This window comes from Homo sapiens, chromosome 1 (genome assembly GCF_000001405.40).
Source record: "Homo sapiens chromosome 1, GRCh38.p14 Primary Assembly".
Taxonomy (NCBI): Eukaryota; Metazoa; Chordata; class Mammalia; order Primates; family Hominidae; genus Homo; species Homo sapiens.
In genome coordinates, this window is record NC_000001.11 from 215,720,253 (window position 1) to 215,738,544 (window position 18,292).

General features: G+C 38.0%; 1 protein-coding gene across 1 annotated transcript in view; it reads right to left on the bottom strand.

The window, feature by feature from the left end:
• The window catches only part of USH2A (usherin), an 800,558-nt gene that overhangs the window by 97,362 nt on the left and 684,904 nt on the right, over positions 1 to 18,292 (bottom strand). The window contains exon 61 of the mRNA NM_206933.4: positions 7,778 to 8,132. Coding sequence (NP_996816.3) covers positions 7,778 to 8,132 — 355 coding nt within the window. The remainder of the gene's footprint in view (positions 1 to 7,777; positions 8,133 to 18,292) is intronic.

The window sequence follows — 18,292 nt, forward strand, 5'->3', positions numbered from 1 at the left end:
GGATTTCTCCACACTCCCCTTTCAAGGCATGCAAGGAATATCCAAGAGAAGCTCTTGAAGAAATTGGGAGTGTTGCCAGAAAAGTGAGATGAACAGTCTGGTCTTGGCAAGAGGCTTCCTACTGCACTGATGAAATTCATAGGACAATTTTGATGCAATGACTAGAGTCAAAAGGGTCTTCTGAAATCCTTAAGTGATCCCATAGTTTTGGGATAATAGGCTAGCACAGAAGCTAATACCTGTGTCTTAGTCAATGAATTCCAAAGTTAGGAGACTGGCTAGGTTTCATCCAGCATGATAGGTCAAGCAGAGAATATAGTACTGGACAAGCTGTACCTTCATTATTTGGTGAAACCAAAGTTTTCTGCAATCCTAGTGGGTGCCAAGAAAGGAATGAGTTTTGTCAACGTGATAGGACTTGATATTGGCTGCCTGCTTGGGAGAAGGGCCCCCAGAGGCAAAAAAAGGTTGTAGGGTGGACCTCTTGGACAATAACAAATAGTAAGAAATTAGCCAGAGAGTGTATTGCCTGCATCAGAGGACTATGAGGCATGGAATTTCCTATGGGGACCCCTATATAACCCACAGAGAAAATCCCATGAGGCATCTGCCCCCTCAAAATTAATAGAAGATTAATTAGAGCAATATTATTGAGTAAAGCTCTGTTCCTTTTTGTCTAATTCTTTCTTTTCATGCCATGATCCTGGGGAAATAAATAAGAGAAGAGGGAACTGAAGAAAGAGGAAAATGACCATGCCCTCTTTCCCCACTGCAGATCCTTAAGCACATATCAGGTTTTAATTTAGACTGGAGTTTTTGTTGTTGTTGTTGTTGTTTTTTGAGACAGGTTCTTGCCCTGTCACCCAGGCTGGAATGCAATGGTGCAATCTCGGCTCTCTGCAGCCTCCACCTCCCGGGTCCAAGAAATTCCCCTGCCTCAGCCTCCAGAGTGGCTGGAATTACAGGCACCAGCCACCATGCTTGGCTAATTTTTGTATTTTTACTAGAGACAGGATTTCACCACGTTGGCCAGGCTGGTCTCGAACGCCTGACCTCAGGTAATCCACCCACCTCGGCCTCCCAAAGTGCTGAGATTACAGGCATGAGCCATCGCCCCCAGTCTAGACTGAAGTTTTTAAAAAACACTTGGAATGAGTCTTAATCACCAGTTGCGTTGATCCTTGCCACTGAAAAGTGACTGGAAAATCATGGGACCTGCCTTAGATGTTACTGATGGGTGAGCAAGGGAATCCTGATGGAGCTTGCTGGGATAAAGTGGTTGGAGAAAAATATGGCTCTTTCAAAGATGTAATTACATAAATTTCAAAAGACTTACATGGTTTTCATCCCCAATAATGTTGAGCAAAAGGTAGATTCTTTATATGTATTTATGACTTTCAGACAAATACATATTTGTCTGAAAGTCTAATTTGTCTAGCCCAAATTAGACAAAAGGGTTAAAGATTATGTAAGGCAAGTAAATGAAAAGTTGATATTAAAGCTAAAATATCATCACAACTAAAAAGTTTTGCCATGGTCAGTGGCTCAAGCCTGTAATTCCAACACTTTGGGACGCCGCAGCGGGAGGATCTCTTGAGGCCGGGAATTTGAGACCAGCTGGGGCAATTTAGTGAGACACAATCTCTACAAAAAATTTAAAAAATTAGCTGGGCATGGTGGCATGCACCTATAGTCCCAGCTACTTGGGAGGCTGAGGAGGGAGGATCACTTCAGTGCAGGACATCAAGGCTGCAGTGAGCTATGATGGTGCCACTGCACTGCAGCCTGTGTGACAGAGCAAGACCCTGTCTCTTTAAAAAAAAAAAAAAAAAGGGTTAGGCCGACAAATATTCATTGTTTTGTGTGATATTTACTCACCCATGTTTTCTATCTTTTATATAGAAGAATGACACAGTTATTTCTTATTATAAAATGTGAAAATCTCAGTTTATAGAACCGACCCAGGAAATATGATAATTATTTTTATTACTGAATTTTTCTTCACATTAGAAAGATAGTCACCAAAGGAGTCCTTTTAGAAAGCTACATCTCCCAGAGTATTTCTGTTGTCTAATAAATGTGTCTGGGGAGAAAAGGCTAAGAATCATCAAATTAAAAAGAGTTGAAACTAATTTAAGATCATATGTAAAGAGCAGTAATATTTTATGTTATCTAAGCCAAAATGAAAATGGGATTAAAAATAAATTTATCAATTTACTCACACACTCTTCATAACATGGCAATTGTGAAATATCTATTTTATTATTATTGTTATTATTTTTGCCACATATCTACTTAATGGTAAAGATATAGGAAACAAACCCTTGAGGAAATTTTGACTACCTCCTCCTTGACATTGGGAAAGGAAGCCTGGCAACTAGAATCTAGAAACTAGAGTTAGTAATTCTGGATTTTATTCCCAGATTGGAAGCCAATTTTTAGTGACCCATATAATTTGCTTATTTCTCAGCACCTTATGCTTGATTCTACACAGAGTGAAGTACCATTTATCTTTTAGGATACTGGGCAAATGCATGATCTGGGCTTGACGTTTTATAACCCCGTGGAACAAGCAAGGATATAGTTAGGGCACAGATAATAGGTAAACCACCTTTTTCTTTAAAATCCCAAATTATCAGATTTATTTCTGCCAGCACAATGGCAGATGCCAGTGAGAAAAAGCAAACAAACCCAAATGGTGGTAGCAATATCGCCAACCTTGCCAGGAGTGTTCCCTGTAAATACCACCATGGAACTCCTGCATGCCAAGCAAGGCTAAATACAGTTTCTTTCCTGACACCGCACAATTCATCACAGAGCTAATTGGGAAGGGAGTTTAAGGCCTTCTAATTAAAGCTGTTTTCAATAATGGAAGGTATTGGTCTAAAGAGACCCCAAGAATCTTGATCTCCCTCTTTCTTCCTTAGAAAGACCTACATAGAGATGAGTAGGGAGGTGAAACTTTTCATGAGGTTGGGAGAGCAGCTAGTGATGCATTAAAACCCACACTCTTTCCATTTCTCTGCTCCTGCTGCCTCTGCTGCTGCTGCCGCTGCTGCTGTTCCTGCCAACACATACGCTTCTCACCCCCACGGAGGGCCCCCACTGCCAGTTCTCCATCCACTGCCACCACAAGCAGAATTCATGCCTCCATTGCACCTGTTTTATGTGGCTCTCTCAGCAACATCCACCTGTCTATAAACAACTCTGGGGGGACCTTGGGGCAAGCTAGTGATGGCACCACAACATGGGCAATTTATTGATGGCCCCTTGGGCAGAGATGAGATCTTAATAAACAAGGGACTAATGCATTAGCAGTACCTCTTGCGAGTTTGTGGACTGAACTGCAATCCTACAGTTGTGGGGATGGACTCTGTGCCTCATTAATGGAGAAGGTTCTGTAGTTCCTTTGCCCTGAAGAATTTTAGCCAGAGTGGCCAATAAACAAAAACTTGAAAAATTTCCTACAGCAGGCACAGAAAGGAAAGAAGACAGTAAAGTTGTTTACCTGGTGCAGAAATTAGATAAACAGTAAGTAGATCTAGGGAAGTACTTGGGATGCGATTTAAAATGGAGTCTTCTACAACCCCTATAGAGATTTCTCAATATACAACAATATAGAGATTTCTCAAAGAACTAAAAGTAGAATTACCGTTCAATCCAGCAGTCTCACTACTGGGCATCTACCCAAAGGAAAATAAATCATTATATTAAAAAAGATACCTGCATTCGTATGTGTATTACGGCACTATTCACAATAGCAAAGATATTGAATCAACCTAAGTGTTCATCAATGGATGATTGCATAAACAGAATGTGATATCTATATCTATATCTATATCTATATCATCTATATCTATATCTATATATCTCCTGATTTCCATTTCCACTTTCCATATTTACTAAATAGGAATAATTTTACACACCATAGAATGTAATTATATATATGGATATATATAGAATGTGAAACACACACACACACACACACACACACACAAACACACACACTGTAGAATACTACTCAGCCATAAAAAAGAATGAAATCATGTCTTTTGCAGCAACATGGATGGAACTAGAGGCCATTATCCTCATGAAGTAACTCAGACACAGACAGTCAAATACCGCACGTTCTCACTTATAAGTAGGACTACATAATATATACATGTGGACATAGGGTGTGGAATAATAGACACTGGAGACTCGGAAGGGTGGGAGGGAGGGAGGGAGCAGGGTGAGGGATGAGAAATGACCTGATGGGTACGATGTACATTATTTGTGCGACGGTTACACTAAAAGCCCAGATTTCACTGCTTCACAATATATCCAGGTAACAAAACTTCACTTGGACCCATTAAGTTTATACAAAAATAAAAATGAAATGGGGTCTTCTAAACATGGGCAGCAGAAACGCAGCTGCAAGAAGCTTAAAAACCCAAAATGCCCAACAGTAATAGCCTGTGCCTCAGAACGAATCACTCATTCTTCCTCACAGTCTCTGCTCTGCTCAAGGGCCAAGTCTCACAGTAGACTTCAACAACATAGTTAAGTTTGGTATTCAATATTGACATATTGAATATAGTACTCAATGGTTATTTGCCAAATCAGATTGAATTGTCAATAATTTGTTGGACCCTGAAGCCCCTTTGTGCTATTATGGAGAAGTCATGCTGCTCTGAACAAAGGGAGATAGACTTAAATTATAGGAGGCAGGATTTGTCTGAGATAAAAGAAACATTCTTCTGTGACGGTGAGGAGTATAGAACCCTGGATAAGTAATAGAACTTCCTTTACTTTTTTTTGAGACGGAGTCTTGCTCTGTTGCCCAGGTTGGAGTGTGGTGGCATGATCTTGGCTCACTGCAACCGTGGCCTCCTGGGTTCAAGCAATTCTCCTGCCTCAGCCTCTCAAATAGTAAAAATACTAAAAATAGTGTTTTTAGTACAGACAAGGTTTCACCATGTTGGCCAGGCTGGTCTGGAACTCCTGACCTTGTGATCTGCCCGCCTCAGCTTCCCAAAGTGCTGGGATCACAGGCATGAGCCACTGCGTCTGGCCTAGATATCTTTTAAACAAAAATATTGAACACAATCTCCTACACAGGGACTGTGGGAATAAGTGAAACACAAAAACACTAGTTCATTTTCCTGATGACTTCCTTCAAAGGTGTCAGATCATAAAGAGTCATAGTTGCCCTGATGCCCTGAAAACGTGGTCCAGTGGCCAGAAGGTCTGAACACTTGCCTAGATTGCTTTGTGGAAGATGTCCTTGTTTGCTTGAAAAGATCAGGTGGGACCTTTCTTGGTGTATCTAATGAAGCCTTCTCTTGAAATTCTAAGAGCCAAAGATTTAGGTTTTGGGAGGCCACTTTGAATACACACATACACATTCAAAAATAGGACACAGAAGTATTGTTTTTAAAATTATTCTGGCTAATCTATTCGACATTGCAAGAAAAAAAATCTTTGGAAAAATAGAAAAGCACACCAGTACTGGACTGTCAAAATGAAAGCCACATCAGGGAGGGCCCATGTGCAAAGAGCCCTGTGCCGCTTAAAGCTTGGGGCCATACACTTGCCTCTTTTCAGAAGCTTTTTAGTGTGATAAAAATAGAGCCTAGAAGATTAAATAAAGAACAGAGTTCATGGATTCATCATATACTTTAAATCTTGTGTTTTAAAATGAAGCTGGTTATGAAGGGATGACTTACAGGGTTATTCCACAAGGGAATTCCAATAGAACTGTTTCGTGAGACTAAATGATTATTAGGCTCCTACCCCTGAAAGTTGTATTTTAAAAGATCAGAGGTTTAATCATTATAATCCTGATGCCTTCAATAAAAACATATTTAAATTAAGGTGCCTCATTCAGAAAGCTATTAACAAGGGTGTTTCAGTATACTCATAAACGTTTTACTTTAAGGGTGAAAGTTTAGAACATGAGTTTGAAGGATATGGTGGGAAGTAACGAACTTCCTCCTGGATCACATATCCACTAAAAAGTATCTTTTACACTTAAGAACACTGCTTCTAATGCTTATCATATAGGAACTAGAAGACATAATATAAAAGACTCTAGTACATAATTTACTATCTAATAAAAATATAGTACTAATTCTGAAACAGATAAAAATGAAGATAAAACAATTATCCTTTCATTTACATATTGCTTATTTTTTAGTCATATGAGAAAATTAAACATGAGGACAGTGGGAAAACATTGTACTTTAAACTATTAATTTAAAAGGGCTCTTCTGGAGTTTAATGAAAATATATTTGCTCACTGTAATTTAAATATTTTGATAAATGTTATCCTCCATAAGATAACCTTCATGTAAATTGGCCTTCCAGGATTTAAAGCATAGAAACATAGTTTTTTGGTTTTTTTATAAATGCTTTAGTTTGTCTGTTTATTTGTTCTTATTGAGGGTTTTCCATATTTAATAAGGTCTTGGCACATATTTGTATTTCACTCCCAAGACCACAAAATTTAATCTTATCCATGAAGCATCTTCAGTTTGAGAGTTGATCTCCCAGAGCATTTCTTGCCTAACACTTGGTATATGATGTTACTCTCTCTTGTACTGTGGTTTAAAGCTAGTAGATAGTGGAGTTCGGGATCTAAGTCTCAGTGTAGTGGACATTATAGGCTGTACTCAACTGCTTCTCATTCTTTTCCCCTTATGTGCAATTCTCATCTCTGCAATATTATAAAACGGAACACTCCCTGTGACAAGGACCATCCTGTTTCTGTATATTCCATAGACCATGAGGTTATGCTGGACATAAAGAAAGCACTCAGGAGCTACTAAGTGCTCAGGTGAACTGAATTAAGTCGTTCTATGGGCCAGAGGAAGCCATCCCTGAAAAAAATCACCAGTAAGCCATAGTGTATGCAACTTTGTGTATGTGTGTGTGTGTATATTTAAATATATACATAAATACATATATACACACACATACATACACACATATATACAAATACATATATACACAAACATGTATACACATACATATATACATATACATATATATATAGCTATATATTATACTAGCTTGTTGGGGAAGTAGAAAATTAAATATTCTGTCTAATTTCATCTGAACCTCATCTCTATGAGGTATGGAGGAAAGCATTACATTATTCCCATTTAGTAGACATGGAAAATGGAAATCAAGACTAAATTATTTCCATTTAGGCCAGGCGCAGTGGCTTACGCCTGTAATCCCAGAACTTTGGGAGGCTGAGGCAGGCAGATCACTTGAGGTCAGGAGTTCGAGACTAGCCTGGCCAACATGGTGAAAACCCCTCTCTATTAAAAATACAAAAATTAGTTGGGCAGTGGTGGGCACCTGTAATCCCAGCTACTCAGGAGGCTGAGGCAGGAGAATTGCTTAAACCTAGGAGGCAGAAGCTGTGGTGAGCTGAGACCACGCCACTCCACTCCAGTTTGGGTGACAGAATGAGAGCCTGTCTCAAAAAAAAAATATTCCCACTTAGTAAATATGGAAAATGGAAATCAGGCAATTTTATGAATAAATAAAATTTATTTATTGGTTTTGAGGTAATCAAAATTAGTCGTGGTCTACAAACTGGTCTCCAATACTCCTCATACTCAGTTCAGTATCTTATCCCCGTGACTACATTGCAACTTTTCACAAGTGAAAGATTTTCATATATTTAAGCCCTAAGTGAAGAAAAATGAGAAGTTGGACAAGAAAATTAATTTCAACGTATTCACCAGATAATCTGCATGTCTGTTACTTTTCTAAAGGGTCTTACCTTCACTGTGAAAGCATGCACGGTAGGGCTGTTAAATGTAGGATCGTCGGGTCTCTCCTGGTAGACCACACGGTAATGGGAGATAATGCCATTGGGAGATTCTGGCTTTGTCCAATTCAACAGAACTGAATGAGCACTCGTGGCTTGAGCCCAAGGAGCTGGAAAATCTTGAGGTGGAGCTTCCAGAGTTTGTGTTAATGACCACAGACTCTCCACTGAACCCTTGGAGTTACAGGCTCTGACCCGATATTCGTAGAGTGTGAAAGGCCTCAGGGTGTCTCCTTCATCCATAAATTCAAGGGCTCCTTCTGACCAGACAAATAAAACAGACTCCTCTTCAATGCCAGCAGGGCGTCTGAAAGGAAACCAAGCAGGCAACCAGTGACAGCTGCACACTTCAAAACAAAGTTTGTAGATGGAGTAAAAACATTTTTTTTAGAATTTGTTATCAACTTAACTTTTCAGCTGTTTCTTCCTGGTGTCATAGTAAAGAAAAACCAGATGGAGAAGTACTCCAGTGGCCTAACTCCATATCATTTTTAAAGTGTAGTTGACACACACACACACACACACACACGTATTTGACTGATTATAAAAGAGTGCATATGCTTTGTAGAAAACATGGAAAACACAGAAGAAATATAAAAAGCACAAAAGGTGAAACCTCATCCAAAATCACATTTTATTATCTTCCAGATGTTTTTGCTGAATAACAAGATACATATGCAATACAAGAAAACAAACATATTTAAAATCTTTTAAAAATACAGAAGCATATATTAAACATTATTAATGCATTTTTATATATTTTCCAGATCTGTGTGTATGTGTCTGTGTGTGTGTGCATGTATGCATGCAGTTATATCGGGGTTTTATTTTTTGTACAACTGGAACCACAGGATATGGAATTAGTAGAAGCTATTATTGGGAATCCTTACCCTTCTATGATAAATGGATTGCAGCTAGGGTCCCAATGTGTTTGTCTTCCTGTATCCAGGCCTTTTGCGAGTATGCTCGTAAACTCACTCTGAGCTTGGCTATATGACTTTTTTGGCTCATGGGACAGTAGCAAATATGATGATTGCAGAGACTTCAAAAGTGTTTGCACATTGAGGATGATCCTTTTGCTGCTCTTAGGACCATAAAATTACTGTGTGAAAAAGCCCAGGTTGGCATACTGGATGATGAAGAACTATGAAGGGAAGTCCACAGTTCCTATTTTCTCTCATGCAGCACAATGCTCTTTTGCAATTGTTCCCAGGATGTTTACAAAGTATTTTAAATTCACTTCTTAGATGCCACTTAATTTCTCTTCATTTGAATTTTCTCTTCTATAATTTAAACCATAACCTCTCAAAGTATGGACAATCTTTTCTTATACATCAAGACCACTGTTTTTTCTACATTTATTGTACTTATACATCAACAACTTTATTAAGCACTGTTATATGCCCATCATTGTATTAGAAACAAGGGTAAAAAGATGAACACACCCCTTACCTAAAGGAATAGGTAGCTGAGTAGAGAAGATGGAGCTATGTGCAGATTAATGAAAATAACATGATAAGTAATATAATAGGAATTTGTTTTAGAGTTTTTTTGTTTTATTTATTTATTTTGAGACTGGGTCTCACTCTGTCACTCAGGCTGGAGTGCATTGATGCAATCATGGCTAACTGCAGCCTCAAACTCCTGGACTCAAGAAATCCTCCTGCCTCAGTCTCCTGAGTAGCTAGGACTACAGATGTGTGCTACTAGGCCTGGCTAACTTTTAAAATTTTTTTGTAGAGATGAGGTCTTGCCATGTTGCCCAGGCTGGTCTTCCCCAAGCAAGCCTCTGGCCTTGGCCTTCCAAAGTGCTGGGATTACAGGCATGAGCCACCATGTCTGGCTTGCTTTAGAGATTTTTAAAGGACAAAAGTCAAATTCCTTTTAGATGTCTTCCCCAAAACCTGGTAAAATGCAGAGTATGACCCCAAAATTCTTTCAACTGTCTGAGGATGGAATTGTTTAGGCTCATCTTTAGATTTTGTTGATAGGGAAACTAGGGCCAAATGCATACTCTTTTGGTACTAAATATATATAGCATTAAATATAGAAGTAAGAGAAATGGAATGGTGAGTTGTTGAGACGGCCCTATATATCTGATACTTCATTTGGAACAGTTCTTTTCTCATCCAGATGTAAAAACATGATGCAGGTTTGATGGAAAGCAAAGTTCTGGAGGAACTGTGGTTGGCATATCTCTATATTCCCAGCATCTGAGCCCAGTAAGTGTTCAATCATGTTTTTCAAGTGAAAGGCTAAAAGTTATGGAATCCCATTACTTCCCTGCATCTTTGCCTCTTCTCCATCAGCTCTTATTTCCTATCAGGGCAGTATTCCAGGTTGGGAGAGAATGTAACCAAGACATTGACCCTCCTCTTTCAGCTCTCTCTCTAGTTGAGAAGAGAGTGATGAATACAGTAATATTTTCCAGGCTGTTAGAAGTATTTAATTAACACACTCTTCAGATGCTGAAAAATTCACATGCTGCCATATCAGATTAACCAGCTCCATCAAAATGTAAAGGGTTATTAAGACAAAGTGAATGACAGTTACCTTTCACAAAAAGGCAGAATATGTAAAATCTTTGGCTTTGGGAATCTGATGATCCTTAAGTTGATAAATCACGATGACCTAAGTATGAGCAATGACAAGCTTCATGCTGGAAGCTATAGAGGCTTCATAGACACCTCTCAGTCACCTGCAATTATGGTTCGGCAGCCCACCTCATTATTGCTCACTACCATGCGTGAACCAGATTCTGCACTCAGTGAAGGTTTGCAGGGTTTGGCCTTTGTACTTGCTACAGATATCAGGTACCAGGTGTGTCATTGGGAGAGATCCATTCTAATGAGAACTGCAGGGCTCATAGCCAAGGACTCTTCTCAGTGATTTTTAAAAAGTTGTTTGCTAGGAACACAATACAGCAAACAAACCTATGATGGTCTATGGGGAAGTAACATTTTCTATTTTGTCTAGCTTCAGCCTTTCCATGACAATTCAATTAATTTTTATTAAACTCTCACGAATTCCCAAATTGAGATGTAGTCATGGTTTCTATAAAGCCGACATTCTTAACAAAATTTGCCTAAAAGTGGGGTTTTAAATACATATACTATTTAAAAGATTGAGTATTATGTTGGCCTCAAGTTTATTCACCAAAAGAATTAAAAGGTGCAGCCTGGTTAAGTATTTCTTATCGCTATTGAATCCTTGAAAAATTAATATCGTGGAGAAGTACATGTCCCATCTGCACTGCTAAAAAACAGAGTCTCTCTTTATGTCTGAATACATTTAGAGCAGAAGTGGTTGAGTAGACCACAATTATTCCTAATTATTTAAGATTTAAGCATCACCTGTTCATTTAACTGGAAGTGTTTCCTCCTGAGTAGCCTGTGTTTAGAGAAATCACATTTTCAGTTCTCTCTGAATAGCCAAATGGTTATTCTTTGCTCAGGCTCATTTGGGAGATACTTCAGGAATGTAATTTTCCAACTAGAGTTAATTTAATGTTGCCTAACACTAAGAGGAAAACAAAAATAAGTATAAAAACTAGGAACCATATATTTTTAAAGGCAGTCACACTTCTGTGGTCTCAATGTACAATGCTTTTAGGAGCTCCTTACTCCTTCTCTCCCCTCCAGCAATTGTCACTGCTTATTTTCAAAAGCAATTAAAACAAAATCCTAGAACCCAATGCACCATAACAATTTTGAGGTTATGAAACTGCCAACCCCATTCCATGAAGAATATTACAAATATTCTGAGTTTAAATAGATAATCAGAAACATCTGTAGTCAGAGGAGATAGGTTGGAGGTCCTGGCTCTGCCACTTAGTTCAATGACCTTGGGTGAACTTGCCTGTCTGTGTCCTCTAGTTTCTATTTCATTTTGTAAAGTGGAGTTAATAACCTCATAGAGTATAACAAACCTCTGAAAATTCTTATAAAAATTAAAACATAAAAATCATTGGGTAAAATGTAATGCATGATCTGAATGAAGTTATCATGGAGATGATGTGCATCTGGCATTGAACAAGGAGGTCATCTCAACAGTTTACGTAAGAATAAATGCAGACCCTGAACTAGATTGCTGAGAGGACAAATGGAAACACAGGTGATTTACAAAATGATTTGTGAAGGTTGAATCGTCAAGTTTTTGGTGTGAGTAGAGACTTGGCTGTTGAGGGAAGAGACATCACAAACCTTTCAAAAATTTTAAGACAGTCCTTTTAAAAATTCTTTAGAGATTTACCATGTAAAATGGCCTATGCTTATCCTTAATCTGCTGATTCTCAAAAGGACTCACCTTTCTGAAATTTCTAGTCCCATTTTATATTCTAGTTATCATCAAATGCTTGACTATAGTTTCTTATATTCCATTATATTTCACGGTTCCATGGCTTTGGTATCTGCTAATTCTCTGGCAATATCCCTCCCAATCCTCTTTCTTATTCTCCTTTTTTCTTTCTTTTTTTTTTTTTTTTTTTTTTTTTTTTGCTCTGTTGCCCAGGCTGGAGTGCAGTGGGGCAATCTCGGCTCACTGCAAGCTCCGCCTCCCAGGTTCACGCCATTCTCCTGCCTCAGCCTCCCGAGTGGCTGGGACTACAGGTGCCTGCCACCATGCCTGGCTAATTTTTTGTATTTTTAATAGAGACGGGGTTTCACTGTGTTAGCCAGGATGGTCTCGATCTCCTGACCTTGTGATCTGCCCTCTTCAGCCTCCCAAAGTGCTGGGATTACAGGTGTGAGCCACCACACCTGGCCTCTCCTTTTTTCTATAGACTAACTACAACTCGTCTTTTAAAATTCTAGCCCCATATCACTTTTTCCAGAAAGTCTTTTCCTTGCTTTTCTCTCAAATAAGAGTTATCATATCCTTCTATGTGCTACCTCTTTTTTCTAATTTGTATTAGGCTCCTTTTGCATTGCTACAAAAATACTTGAGGTAAGCTAATTTATACAGAATAGGGATTTAACTGGCTCACAGTCCTGCAGGGCGTACAGAAAGCATGATGCTGGCATCTGCTTATGAGAGACTCAGGAAGCTTACAACTATGATGGAAGGTGAAGAAAGAGCAAGTGCATCACGTGCAGAGAGCAGGAGCAAGAGAGAGAGGTGGCGGGGGGGCGGGGGGCGGGTGGAGTCCTAGACATTTAAACAACCAGATCTCCCATCATGAACAAACTGAGCAAGAACACACTTATCACTAAGGGCATGGTGCTACACCATTCATAAGGGATCTGACCCCATTATGCAATCACCTCCCACTAGGCCCCATCTGCAACATTGGGAATCTGTTTTTAGCATGAGATTTAGAGAGGACAAACATACAAACTATATTATTCCACCACTGGCCTCCCAAATCTCATCTCTTTCTCACATTTCAAAATGAAATCATGTCCTCCCAATAGTTCCCCGAAGTTTTAACTGATTACAGCATTAACTCAAAAGCCCCAAGTCTCAAGTACCAAGTCTAAAATCTCATCTGGAGACTCATCTCCTTTCACCTATAAGCCTATAAAATCAAAACAAGTTATTTACTTCCAAGATACAATGTGGATATAGGTATTGGGTAAACATTCTCATTGCAAAAGGGAGAAATTGGCTAACAGAAAGGGCCTATAGGGCCCACACAAGTCTGAGACCTGGTAGGACAGACATTAAACCTTAAAGCTCCAAAATAGTCTCCATTAACTCCATGTCCCACTCCAGGGCACACTGCTGCAAGCACTGACTCCTAAGGCTTTGGGTAGCTTCAACCCTGTGGTTTTGCAGAGTGCAGACCCTGTGGCTGCTCTCATATATTGGAGTTGAATCCCTATGGCTTTTTTCAGGATACAAGCTGTCCATGGTTTCTGGGACCTAGAGAGAAGTGGCCCCCTTCCCACAGCTCCAACAGACAGCGCCCTGATGGAGACTCTGTATGGTGGCTCCAACACCACACTTGCCTTCTGCACTGCCCTAGTAGAGTTTCTCTGTAAGGGCTTCACCCCTGTGGCAGCCTTCTGCCTGGGCACCCAGGCTTTCTCATACATTCTCTGAAATCTAGGGGGAAGCTGCCAAGCCTCCTTCATGCTTGCATTCTGTGCATCTGCCAACTTAACACTACATGGTAGCTACCAAGGGTTTGGTGTACGCCCCCTGAAGCACCTACCTGTGATGTATCTGAGGCCCTTCGAGCTGCAGCTGCAGCAAGAGTAGTCAGGATGTGGGGAACAGTTCGCAAGCCTGCACAGGGCAGCAGGGCTCTGGGCCTGGCCCTCAAAACCATTCTTTCCTCCTAGGCCTCTGGGCTTGTGTTGAGAGGGGCTGCCTGTAAGATCTCTGAAATGCCTTCTAGGCCTTTTCCCTATTATCTTGGATATTAACACTTGGCTACCTTACAGTGATGCTAGTCTCTCTTGAAAGTGGTCACTCCACAGTCTGCTTGAATTCTCTCTCTACCACAGGGCCAGGCTGCAAATTTTCTGAACTTTTGCTCTCTGCTTCCCTTTTACATAAAAGTTCCAACTTTGAGTCATTCCTTTGCTCCCATATCTGATTGTAGGCTGTTAGAAACAGCCAGGCAAAGTCTTGAATGCTGCTTTGTTGCTTTGAAATTTCTTCCACCAGTACCCTAGGTTTTTACTCTTAAGTTCTCACTTTCACAAATCCCTGGGGCATGGATGTAATGGAACCTAGTTCTTTGCTAGGGCATAACAAGGGTGACCTTTACTCTAGTTCTCAATTATTTGCATCTCCAACTTCATTAGTCTGGTCTTCACTGTCCATATTTCTATCAGCATTTTGGTGAGAACCATTTAACCAGTCTCTAAGAAGTTCCAAATTTTCCCTCACCTTCCTGTCTTCTTCTGAGCCCTCCCAACTCTTTCAACCTCTGCCCGTTACCCATTTCCAAAGTCACTTCCACATTTTCAGGTATCTTCATAGCAACACGCTACTCCTGGTGCCAGTTTTCTGTATTAGGCTGTTCTTGTGTTGCAATAAAGAAATACCTTGGGAGCAAGTGATTGCAGCATGCAATTTTTCCGACATTTGGAAAACCAACTTAATTTCATGTTTCCTCCTCCATACAACTGCACCAGTGGCAGGTACCCCTCTTCAACTGTCTGAGTCCCAGCTTCACAGGCACCCTCCTCTATGCATTTACATTTTAATAATTCTAACAACTCCCCTTTGTTCCCTCAGTTCTAAAGGTGCTAGCTGTTTCCTGTAGTTGCCACCTCCATGATATCTTAGAGTTCTCTTTTTATGCTTTTAGTTACCTAGTTAACAAATTTATAACTACTTACTAATTATTTATATTAAATTCCTTCTGTTAAAGTAAGTAGTGTGGTTCCTCTTTCTTGATCAGACTTTGATTATTACAGAAAGTGATGGTGATATTCACACAAAGAAGGAAATAGGAAAATCGGAGACAGTGATGATAGATTTGCATCTGGGCTCACAAATTTATTATTTTGTCTTTACTAGACCATATGATGTATTGACTATAAAAATTAATAAGAAAACACAGATGAACAAAAGCAGAAGTATTTAAAAGAATCACTGATAGCCTAATATTTGGAGATAAGCACTGCTAGCACTATTTTGGTGTTTAACATTCCAGACATTTTTTTATATACATATATATGTAAAAAATATACTATATATTTAAAGGAAAACAGAATCCTACCAGGCATACTGTTATGCAAGCTGCTACTTTTATAACCATGAACCTCTTTCATTGACTTTAAATGTACATCTATAACTGCCAGATGGATTTGTCTTTCTAAAACATGGCTTTGGACAACATATCTAGGATAACTTTCTATTTTTATCATGCTTCACATTTAACAGTAATTCCACACATATTATTTAATTCTTACAGAATTCCAAGAGGCTAATTATCTTTTATATTTACTATCTTCACTTCATGTAAAAATGGAAAATTAGGGAACACAGTGACTTGCCTAAGGTCATATAACTAGTAAGTGTTAGAGCCAGGCCCTGGAAGCCATATCTTCTGACTACAAATGCCACACTCTTTCCACTTTATTACATTGCTTCTCTATTTACCCCCTAAACCTTCAGCAGCTCACATTGCCTCTGAATATAAAGCCTAAACTCCTTAGATCTAAAATCTATCATTAAGCTGATCTTCTAAATGTCCCCTACTAATAGCAATGACTCCAGATAAACCTGACCATTCCTTGAATCCTATGCTTATGTGTTGGAAATTTTGCTTATTCTATTGATTTTATTCACTTATCATGTCTTCACCATCAGGCTGTACTTGTTAAAATCCCTATTTACCACAAGTGAAACAGAATACAAAGTCCTAAAATGAACCCGATGCACATAGGAATTTTGTATGAGTGACATTTCAAATCAGTGGATTATGAAATAATGTTGATAAACTAGTTAGCATTTTTTAAGAAAATGAATTCTTATCTAATTTCCAATAACAATATTAATTCCATATTTAGAAATAAGGAGTAGAGCCATAAAAGTGCTGGAAGAAATAATTAATGTGTTATTTTTAATATGATCATGAAAGGGAGATTTTCTTTAATGTGGAAAGAATATAGACAATAAGAAATAATCCAGTAGAAAAAATTAGTCTAAGAATTTATAATATATTATACATACCCCTCCCAAATAGAAGATAAATATTTTAAGTAAATGAACAATCTTACTTATAATCATCAAAACTTGAATTAAAACAACAAAAATGTGCAAATGAAAATATTGAGCTGACAGATTTGGAAGACTGACCCTGTATTAAAAGATTTCAGAATTAGAAATTCTTACATATGATATTTGGAAGACAACTTAGGAATCCTCAACAATTTTAAATGCATATGGTCTAGTAAAGACAAATCCTCAACAATTTTAATTGACCCAGTACTTCTAGTACTAAGAATAATTCTCTGTATACTTACCGTAAGAATATTTATTAGAGAATTGCTGTGGTAACGAAAACTTGAAAATCACCTATCTTGCCATCATCAGGGTACTGGCTAAATAATATATGATACACATCCATATAACAGAATATTGATGAGTCATTAAAAGAAATTAGGTGTGTATATGTGTGTGGGCATATATATAAAATGCCCAAAGAAAATTGCAGAACAATATGGGCAATATAATTCTTTCATGAAGAAGAAAATACAAATAGAAAACATTAATGTTAATATATTAAAATTAATAGTGTTACTTCTATTAGTGAAAATTACATATGCCATGAGTAAATCATAAGAATGAATAATAACCTTAGTAATCTTCTGTACTGTTAAAACATTTTTTCTAACAAATGTATTTCTCTTACAATTTAAATAGTCATTAAATCTTTATTTTATAAGTCCTAGTCTCAATGACATCAACTTGATGAAGTGTTCCATGAATATTCTAGACACAGAATTATTCTCTAAATTTTCTGGTAAATATTTCTGTTTTTCCACTATATATTTTACTCTTTTCTTTGTTTATTTAGCCTGTCTTATATCTCCCACTGTAGTGAAGATCATTGGTAAAAGGGCTTAGGTCTCATAGATCTTTGTGTCTCTCTCAGTAGATATGTACATGTATGGATAGGTAGATGTCTGTCTGTCTGTCTTCTGTCTGTATCTATCTATATAAATATTCATATCTATATCCATCTTTCCACCCAATACAAATTGAATTACATCAAAATTCCTTTGCCTTTGATTCAATGCTCGTCTTTTCTTAGTTAATTCAATCAGCTTAATTATCCATTTTATAAAATGTTTTCACTTATCTGCTTTGAAAACCCTTTCATATCATACAGTCTTCAAAATTATTTCAGATTTTATCCTTTAAATCTTACTAAATACTCAGAAGGAAGTGCCATCATTTGTTTCTATTTTTACAGCATTTACAGGGTGTTTGTATATAGTTTTGCCTCTCAGTGCACATTGATCAAATCTTTTTATTTATTTAAAGAGAAAGCTCATGAGAATAATAAACCCCATGAAATTTGGTTTCTATTAAAATTAAAGCACCTAGTGGGAGGAGATTATTTTATTACATGTTTTGTAAAGTCTCAATTTAATGTGTTTGATGGATTTTGTAGACGTAAGTGATGAGATTTTTGCCATTTGCAAGGTTGCAGATATAAAATAAAGGGGGAATACTGAAGAATCATTATCATACCAGCCAAACTCATTGAGAGGAGGAAGCAGATGTCCAAGACAGTCTTGTCTATACTCAGTCAATAAACAGGTTGCAAAACACTAACTTAAATGTTGGTCTCTATTCTTTACAAAACTTTTTGTAGCAAATCTTTTTTTGTGACTTATATATAGTCAACAAAATAGCTTAAACAGATAAACTAAGCAGAGGGAATCATATTAATAGTTTGTTCTTACTAGGTTATTTTGTTTCGTTTTTGAAATTATAAACATTCTTCTATCTTTAATAGGGCAGACGCTTTTTAATAGGATAATATTTAGGTTATTTTGC